This window comes from Homo sapiens, chromosome 3 (assembly GCF_000001405.40).
Source record: "Homo sapiens chromosome 3, GRCh38.p14 Primary Assembly".
NCBI classification, from domain to species: Eukaryota; Metazoa; Chordata; class Mammalia; order Primates; family Hominidae; genus Homo; species Homo sapiens.
The window spans coordinates 141,722,515-141,732,884 of NC_000003.12; positions in this window are offsets into that span (position 1 = coordinate 141,722,515).

The following is a 10,370-nucleotide window of genomic DNA, read 5'->3' on the forward strand; positions in this document are numbered from 1 at the left end:
AATGCATCCCTCTCTTGAGCTGAAATAATTATGGTGTTTCTGATGGAATACTTCAATTGGATTGTTAGTTTGAACACCAAGAAGATTCCTCAAAACAGGGTTAACTGGTTGGGTTTTATAGGAAAAATCTCTTCCCATTCAGCCCTAATGGCATCATTTTAAACATTAAAAGCAATTAATAGTATTACTGATTATAGAGCTAATGTTCTTCAATTGATTGTTTCTTAACATTTGCAAGTTAACAAGCTAATTTCTAATTCTAATTCTAATTCGTTCATGAAATCCAAATTAACAGCCTGAGGTCACTTACTTGGCTATCAAGGAGATCTTAATGACCTGCCTTTAATGATGGACGAGGCCCAGTGAAATCTTCCTCAGAAACATTAGCAAGCTCATTTCATTAAAAAAAAAATAGCTAGTGAAACAATAAGCTGTTATCCTGTCTTACTGCTTTTTCACTAATAAGAAAACAGAGTACTGAAGGAACATTTCATTTATTCATTCTTATTTCTTTCAATATATATTTGTTAAATGCCTATCATGTACCAGGCCCTGTTCTGGGCCTGGTAGGAGGAGAGTCATGAATTCCTGCCTTCATGAGGCATATATATGATTGTATATCTGATGGGGATCATACTTAGAGGAAAAATAAAGCAAATGAGGGGGTAAAGTGTGTGTCAGGGCATGGGGGTTGCCATCTTAGGGTAGCTAGGGAAGGCTTTGCTGAGAAGGGACACTTAAGTAAAGACCTAAAGTAGTGATGGAGCAGGCCATGTGAATATCTGAGAGATGAGCATTCTGGCTAGAAGGAACAGCAAGTGCCAAGGCCTTAAGGTAGGAGCCTCCTGGTGTGTTCAGTAAAGCAGCCAGCATGGCTGAATGGAGTGAGCTAGAATGGGAGAGTCAGAGGACAAACAATTTGAGATGCAAGTATGCAGAGCAGAAAGCCTTCTAGACCCTTGTGAGGACTTTTGGGTGTAACTGTTGACAAGGAAAGGCTTTTGAGAATGATAAACCTAGAAGTAACCTGATGTAACCCACATTTTAACAGGATTGCTTCAGCTCTATGTTAAAAATAGACTATAGGGGAGGCAAGGGCAGAACAAGGATTCTAGTTAGGGAGTTTTCTCTGGGAAAACTACACAGAGCCTTTCAGCAGACCCAGAACACCCAGCAAGGTGGAAAATGTGGGTTGGGGAGAAGCTACAAAGATGAGAATTAAGGAAAGTTGTACATATTGAGCAGTTGAAACTCAGTCCTTACTACCACCCTAGGCTTGTCTGCCCTGCTTCCAGAAGGCTGACAGCCATGTAGAAGATTGGGGTATTACTTGAGAAATTGAATAGCCCTAGAAAAAGAAATTCTAGATGCTGACAGCTGGCCATCTCCTCACCATTCAAAGAAGCCTAGCAGGTCAGCAAGCCCTGAACATACATGACAGCTGCCCATCAGCCTTTGTATGTCTTATGCTTCATTGTGAACAAGATACCTGAGAACCTCCAGACACTTGAGGCAAGTCTCCAACACGAGAGACCAACTCTGAAACAGAGGGAATGAAGGAACCCTGAAGATATAGAAACAATGCAGAAAACTAAAGAAAAACCAAAAAAAAGCTGTAACATTATAGCATTCTGAATGGAAGAAAGGATAAGGCATCCATAAAAAGGGAATGGGGTACTATGAAAAAAGAACAATTAGAAAATAAGAAAAAGTTTTTGGACAGTAAAAAAGATAGACAAAATAAAATATTCTGGGGGGAAAAAAAGGTAGACAGATAAAATCAAGAGAGTCAGCCCTCTGCTCCTCCAGTTTGAGAGACAGCTGCATTTTCTCATGCAGCACCAGCTGCGCCCCTCAGACACCAGGGTGAAGGTGAAGGCCAGAATAAACAGATGTATCCACAGTGGGCCTTGGTCACCAGGGCTGCTTTTAACTCTGGCAAAGTGGATGTTGTCACCATCAATGACCCCTTCATTGACCACAACTACATGGCCTACATGTTCTAGTATGAGCATGTTCCAGTATGAACAAGGCCAAGTTCCACATAACCTCCAAGGAGTAAGACCCCTGAACCACCAGTCAGAGCAAAGAGGATGAGAGAGGCCCTCAGCTGCTGGGGAGTCCCTGCTGCACTCAGTCCCCCACCACACTGAGAATCCCCCCTGAAGAGGGAAGGTCTGGGGAACTCTGCTTTGTTGTGTACCATCAACAAAGTCACCTGTACTCAGCCCCCACCCCACCCCCCAAAAAAGAAAGAAAGCTTCAGAAGTGAAACAAAAGATAAGGAGATGAAAAATTGGTGAGAAAGTATAAGAGACAGAGGATCAACCTACGAACATCAGTGTCTAACTAAGAGTTTTCAGAAAGAGAAAGCAGAGAAAAGTGAAGACAGGGAATTATCAAAGGAATAAATAAAGAACTTTCCCAGAGCCAAGGAACATAAATCTGCACGTTGAAAGAGCCCATTGGGTGTCCAGCACAGGGAAATACAAAAAGTATATCATGATGGCATTCAGAGCACTAGGAATAAAAAGGGGATCCTAACAGCTAACTAAAAGAAAACAATTTGCATCCAAAGGACTGGGAATTAGAATGACATCAGACTTCGTAACTAGAAGCTAGGGGCAACAAAGTGCTACTGTGACAATTCTATGAGAAGTCTATACCTTCCCAACTTCTAACCATGTATGAGGCCAAAATAAAGATGTTTTCAACATGCAAACATTCCAAACATTTGCCTCCTCTGAGTCTATTCTTAAGAAACTTCCAAAGAACATGCTTGAGCAAAATGAGAAAATAAACCAGGAAGACAAGCCAGGCGCAGTGGCTCATGCCTGTAATCCCTGCACTTTGGGAGGCTGAGGCAGGCAGATCACTTGAGGTCAGGAGTTCGAGACCAGCCTGGCCAACTTGGCGAAACCCCCCTCTCTATTAAAAATACAAAATTAGCCAGGCATGGTGGTAAACACCTGTAAGCCCAGCTACTCAGGAGGCTGAGGCAGGAGAATCACTTGAACCGAGGAGGCGGAGGTTGCAATGGGCCGAGATCGCACCACTGCACTCCAGCCTGGGCAATAGAATGAGACTGTCTCAAAAAAATAAATAAATAAAAATAAAATAAAATAAACCACAAAAACAAAGAACGCCAAGTTCAGAAATCGGAAGGCCCAATATAGGACAGTAAAAAAGGGAGTCCCAGATGATGGTTGAGGTAAATCCAAATTGGAGCAGAAAAGTAGAAGACTTTGTAAAGGAGAAAGACTTGGTTAAAAACTGAACTTATAGAGCATGTGAAATACTTAAGTATTTTGTCAACTGAGGTCAGGAGTTCAAGACCAGCCTGGCCAACATGATGAAACCCGCATCTCTACTAAAAATACAAAAATAAAAAATAGATACTTAGGTGTTTTGAAAGAAATATTGATAAGTATATTTGAAATGACAGAAACCTGTGGGAAAATATTTAGAATAAGTACACAGAAAACTCTGCAAATGACAAAACAGGCAATTATTAACTTAGACAAAAGACAGATATACAATGAAATATGTACAAAAATATACCAATGAATACACCAAGTGTTGATTTAACTAAAAATTGTGATATATCTTTATTGGGAGGCTTGGTGAGAGGAAGTTACAAAAGTCAATATGTAAAATTTTAAATGGAAATATCAAGAAATAATATAATAAGCACTTTGTTTAAAATCAGGCAGTAAATATCATGAAAAACTGCTGAATAAGTTGAAAGTGGCTGCCTCTGCAGAAGAGAACTTGGGGCCACGTGCAGTGGCCTACACCTGTAATCCCAGCACTTTGGGAGGCCAAGGTGGGAGGATCACTTGAGCCCAGGAGTTCGATACCAGCCTGGGCAACCTAGGGAGACCCCATCTCTACAAGAAGAAGAACAAGAGGAAGAGGAAGAAGAAGAAGAAGAAGAAGAAGAGAGGGAGGGGGAGGGGAGGGGAGGGGGAGGGGGAAAGAAGGAAGGAAGGAAAGAGAAGAGAGAATGAGAGAGAGAAAGAAAGAAAGGAAGGAGGGAGGGAAGGAAGGAAGGAGGGAAGGAAGGAAAGAAGAAGAAAGAAAGAAAAAAAAGAAAGAAAAGAAAAGAAGAAAAGAAAAGAAAAGAAAGAAAATAAATTGGTCTGTTGCCCAGGCTGGAGTCCAGTGGCATGATCTTAGCTCACTGTATCCTTGAACTTCTGGGCTCAAGTGATCGTCCTACCTCAGCCTCCCAAGTAGTTAGGACTACAGGCATGTGCCACCATGCCTGGCTAATTTTAAATTTTTTGTAGAGGTTAGGTCTTGCCATTTTTCCCAGGCTGGTCTTGAACTCCTGAAACCCAAAGTGCTAGGATTGCAGGCATAAGCCACTAGCCACTGCACCCAGCCAAAAATATTTTTAAAGAGAGAATTGAAAAGTGCCTAGCTTTCTCACCATGTAATTTGTTGTTATATAACTCCAGGTCAATACCTAATGCTGGCTTAAATCATCTTAGTTTCCTCAAAAGAAGAGGAAGTCTCAAACACTTGGGATATGCTTCATTGAAGAATGAGTAGAATTTTATAAGTGGAAAATAAGTAGAAAGGATGACCGAAAGTGTGGCATCCAGGAAACATAACAGTCTTTTGTGAGCTTAGGCGACACATGAATCCTCTGAGGTCTCAGCTGGTCTCCATTCCACACTCCTGGCCCCATTTCAAATGGTCTGTAGCATATGAAACACCTCACAGCCTGCGCCGTGCATCCCACACTCCCTCCTTGCCTCAGTGGTCAAGACTTTGACCTTTGTTTTCCTACTGAAGACTTTGCCTTCCCCTGCTTTGGACCTGTCCTCTATATTTCTAACTCCGAGCTTTGTTTTTCTCCTTGGCCAGGATTTATACCTGTTTCCGATTAAATACTGCATCATATAGAGATAGTGTTTGGCTACAGGTAACAGAACCAGCTACAGTGCCCTACACAGGTGGAAGACGACTGGGCAGGTACAGCTACTGCACCACATCATCAACGTCCCAGATTCCTTCTCTCCTTCTCCACCATCACCTCAGCAAGTGGCCCTTATCCTCATGGCTGCAAGGTGGCTCCCACACCTGTGACCTCTCCTCTCCATTCCAGACCAGAAGAAGGAGAAGAAAGGACAAGGAGGAAGTGCTAGTATCTGATTTCTGGCTCATTCTTTTTTTTTTTTTTTTTTTTTTTTGAGACAGTTTCGTTCTTGTTGCCCAAGCTGGAGTGCAATGGTGTGATCTTGGCTCACTGCAACCTCCGCCTCCTGGGTTCAAGCAATTCTCCTGCCTCCCAAATAGCTGGGATCACAGGCATGCACCACCATGCCTGGCTAATTTTGTATTTTTAGTAGAGACGGGGTTTCTCCACATTGGTGAGGCTGGTCTCAAACTCCCAACCACAGGTGATCCGCCCACCTCGGCCTCCCAAAGTGCTGGGATTACTGCGCCCGGCCTCAAGTTGTGACATTCTAAACCACATTGTCTTACACCTCCAGGTTCCTTTCCATATTCATCCACCTTGCCTTCCACTGCTCTTTCCTGTGCCCAGCCTGATTTGACCTCATACTTGTACAAGCATTTTCATACTTCAACCTCAATTTACCCTCTGGAGCTGAAATTCAGTACTATTTTCTAAAGTTCTTGTTTTTCCTCTCAACTGTATTTCTTGTTTTCCCTTCTGCTTTTGGCCTCTCCCTGGAGAAGCCTGGCCTCCAGAAACTGTAGTGTTAGGCACCTCCGGCCTTATAAGCAGGACCTAGCTGTATGGCTAAATGAGAAGCAGGAAGGAGGAGAAGGGAGAGTTCCATGGGAAAGAATATGGAGGAGGGGTTGACACAGGCTCTGTAATAACACATTAGGGATTTGAGTCTTTATTTTATAGGAAAATCAGTGAGAACTCTGGGTTTCAAGTGATACAAAACCGATTCAAACTGACTTAAGTACAAAAGCAAATCTGTTGACTCCTGTAAGTCCAGGGTGGTTCTAGCTTAAAGTCCAGCTGAAATCAAGGGTTCACATAACGCCGCCCACCTCCATCTCCTGGGAGTTCTGCTGCTGTGTTGACTTTACTCTCAGGCAGGCTCTTTCCCACATGGGGGCAAGTTGAGCAGCATTAGCCAGAGGGTTACATTCTGCCTGGTTAATAATCTCAAGAAGGAGCTCTTCTTTGGACTTTCACTGGAGGACCATGAGTCACATGCACACCTGTTAACCAATCACTGTGCCAGGGAGATGAAATACACTAGACATCCCTGGGCTACGTGCATACCCTGGAGGGCAGGGGAGTGGAACCCTAAAACAAACTCAAAGTGCTGTTGCAGAAAGAAGCTGAAATGGAAGCTGGGTAGGCGGAAACAAGAGATGTCTACTAAAGAAAGAGGGCCAGTAATGGTATTAGAGCTGGTAATGAGAAGATCAGAATGTTGCTTTCAGATGATTAATCTGGAAGCAGGGTCCAGGATGGGCTTGGGGTTGGGGAAGTTTGGGATTAGGAAAACTGGTTAGGAGGCTACTCTATCATCCAGGTAAAAGACATGACAGTGAGAATGGGAAAGACAGGACAAGTGTAAGAAGTTACTTCAGAGGTAAATTAATTGTCAGCATCACTCGCACCAAGAAGGTATAAGGAAGAGGTATGAGGTCAGAGGAAAGTCACTCGGCTAATAAGAATGTGGGAGAATGCCTCTCTCAGAAGCCTAAGACCCACTCCCTCTAATGTAGTTGTGAGATATCCTACCTATTTATGATTATGTTCTTTCCCCGTGCAGGTAAACTACCGGTCTTAAAAATTACAGTCACTCCCCAGATCTCTTCAGATACCTTCAGATCAATTTGGAAAAATAGCAAGAAGTCTAACACTATGCATAAAAAGAAGAAAAAGGTAAGTTCTTGGACGTCTGTGTCAGTGAGGAGCAGCCACCAGGGAGTGCTGTGTGGAGCCTGGGCCCTTGGGGCAGACAGCACCATCAGCTGCAGGTTTTGCATTTGATTATATGAGAATTTAGGTTCTAGGTCACGCTCCCCTAAACCATCATTCCAATCTGATGGATGATGATTGAACCAAGAGACAAGTAAGTAAGAGAACAACAGTTTCCTCAAAGATTGGCACAGACTGGGCCTCCCCTCTTTAATTCCCACCCCTACCCAAATCCTAGTTGCTGCTAGCCTATTGTGGATCTGAAAAGATAAATTTACTTTTAAATTTACCTAAACTCTTTATGAAGGCTGTGCTACCTCTTAGGAGGTAATGCTTTATATATGTTTATTCTCTACTGTAAGAAGTTGAACTCCCTTTTTTCTATAATTTATGATTGCCTGTTTATTATTTCACAGACTAAAAACTGAATATAGGTGCTATATTTCCATATGGATGTCATCTATTTCCATGGCCAAGCAGATACACCCGGATAGATATTGCTTATTCTATAGTAATATTTTTCACTGTAACCAAGTCCCTTTGAAGTTCTCAAATTTGATGATTATTGTATGAAAGTTTAAAGTCATGTGATAATCCTGTCTTGTGATGATCCCATCACACTTGTCATTTTCTAAAATGTGGGTTTCACAAGTAGGCCTTAGTAAAAAAAGACGCAATTCTCTGAGGCTTCATCTCTCCTGCATATGAAATTTATAAGTTGAAGGAAATCATACTTTTATCTAAAAAAGAAAGAATCCTCTTTCATAAATATACCTATAGTTGGGAACAATAAGAATGCTTGGAAATAATAACCACTTCCTAAAAGACACCATCCCTAAAAATGAGGATCCTCCCTAAATGAGGAAACTTTTTTTTTTTTAAGACAGGGTCTTGCTCTGTTGCCCAGGCTGGAGTGCAGTGGCGCAGTCTTGGCTCACTGCAACCTCTGCCTCCTAGGTTCAAGTGATTCTCCTGCCTCAGCCTTCTGAGTAGCTGGGATTATAGGCGCGCACCACCATGCCCAGCTGATTTTTTGTATTATTAGTAGAGACAGGGTTTCACCATGTTGGCCAGGCTGGTGTCGAACTCCTGACCTCAGGTGATCCACCTGCCTTGGCCTCCCAAAGTGCTGGGATTACAGGCGTGAGCCACAGCTCCCAGCCAAATGAGGAAACTTTTAATTCCTCTGCCCCACCCTGAAGATGCCACATAGCCCCGTGAGAAATGGAAGAGGTGTGGTTGATTGATATACAGATGACAGTGGGTGAGTTGAGTTTTATATGCCACAACAATTATGGTGCAGGATGAAGAGCATGGCCTAGGCAGTTAGATGAACCAGAAGTCTCTATGGAGGAACTGCCGCTTTCCAGGTACTGAGCCTGGGCAAGTCAGTTCACCTCATGCTCCTCAGTTTCCTCTTATGTAAGACATAGTTAAGAGTAGCAGGGCTGGGTGCAATGGCTCATGCCTGTAATCCCAGCAATTTGGGAGGCTGAGACAAAAGGATCGCTTGAAGCCAGGACTTCAAGACCAGCCTGAGCAACATAGTGAGACCCCCTATCTCTACAAAAAATTTAAAAATTAGCCAGCTGTGGTGGCATGTGCCCGTAGGCCTCGCTATTTGAGAGGCTGAGGCAGGAGGATTGCTTAAGCCCAGGAGGATAACACTTCAGTGAGCTATAATTGCACCACTGCACTCCAGTCTGGGTGAGGAAGTGAGACCCTATCTCAAAAAAAAAAAAAAAAAGAGTAGCGCCTATCTCAATTGGTGAGCATTGAATGAGACCACACATGTCAAGCATTTTAGAACAATGAGAACAATGCCTTGTTCATATTATACACTCAAAAATAAATATGAGTGGCTCTTATTATTGCTGCTGTTATTGTGGATGTTAGAATTGAGTGGTGCCAGTTATTTCATCTATGACAACCACACAAGAAACATAGGAAAGAAATGAAAAAAAGAAGACTGAAGACCTCTTCACTTTGAAGTAAAAATAAAAAACGAAAACTTCATTCATTCTATCTACAAATTTAACAAGTGCTAGCAAGTTTCTGGAATCAAACTAACTGTAGGGTAAGAATGGTATAGTAAATTAGCTCCACTCTCCAGGGTCTTAGGATCTAGCTAAGAAGACAAGATCTTCGGCCAGGCACGGTGGCTCACGCCTGTAATCCCAGCATTTTGGGAGGCCGAGGCGGGTGGATCACCTGAGGTCAAGAGTTCAACACCATCCTGGCCAACATGGTGAATCCCTGTCCCTACTAATAATACAAAAATTAGCCAGGCGTGGTGGCACATGCCTGTAATACCAGCTACTCGGGAGGCTTAGGCAGGAGAATCACTTGAACCCGGGAGGCGGAAGTTGCAGTGAGCTGAGATCACGCCATTGCACTCCAGCCTGGGTGACTATAGCAAAACTCCGTCTCCAAAAAAAAAAAAAAAAAAGACAAGATTTTCTTGCATTAAAAGTGAACAACAATAAAGTATATGACTTGGAAAAATATGTGTCATTAAGCAGGATAAGAAAGGCCATAGAGTAACAAGATCAATGTAACAAATTTACCAGAACTGATGTATCCAATATGTGAGAGCTCCTGAGAACTGTTCCTGCTTAAAAGAAATGAAAATAGACTGGGTGGGCACCGTGGCTCACGCCTGTAATCCCAGCACTTTGGGAGGCCGAGGTGGGCCGATCACGAGGTCAGGAGATCGAGACCATCTTGGCCAACATGGTGAAACCCCATCTCTACTAAAAATACAAAAACTAGCTGGTCGTGGTGGCCCATGCCTGTAATCTCAGCTACTCAGGAGGCTGAGGCAGGAGAACAGCTTGAACCAGGGAGTTGGAAGTTGCAGTGAGCTGAGATCATGCCACTGCACTCCAGCCTGGCAAAAGAGTGAGACTCCGTCAAAAAAAAAAAAAAAAATGAAAATAAAAGTCAAAAAGACCTTTTTTGAAATTTGCCACACGTATCCACTGGGTAGGAGTGTAAAATCAGAATACCCCTTTAGCGGGTCTTTTGGCAGTGTTTATTAAAATGAAAAATACATAGCTTTTGACTCGGCCATTCTACTTTTAGAAATTTGTTTACTGTCACATGTGTGCAAGGAAATATGTATGAGGATGTTCACTGCAGCACTCTTTATTTTACGTGGGAAATAACTAAATTTTTCTCAAAGAGTTTCAGGGGAATAAATCACAGTAAATGTGTGTGGTAGAATACTATGCAGTCATTGAAAGAATAATGTGGATACATAAGTGCTTATATGGAAAAGTATCCAAGTAACACCATTTTTAAAAACAGGTGAGAGAATAGTATATGTGAAAAATTCATACAAAAATGAATTGACATAGTATAATCCAGCAATTTCACTTGTGTGTATACATCTAAAAGAATTGAATGTAGCGTCATTAAGAGATATTTGAACACCATGTTCAAA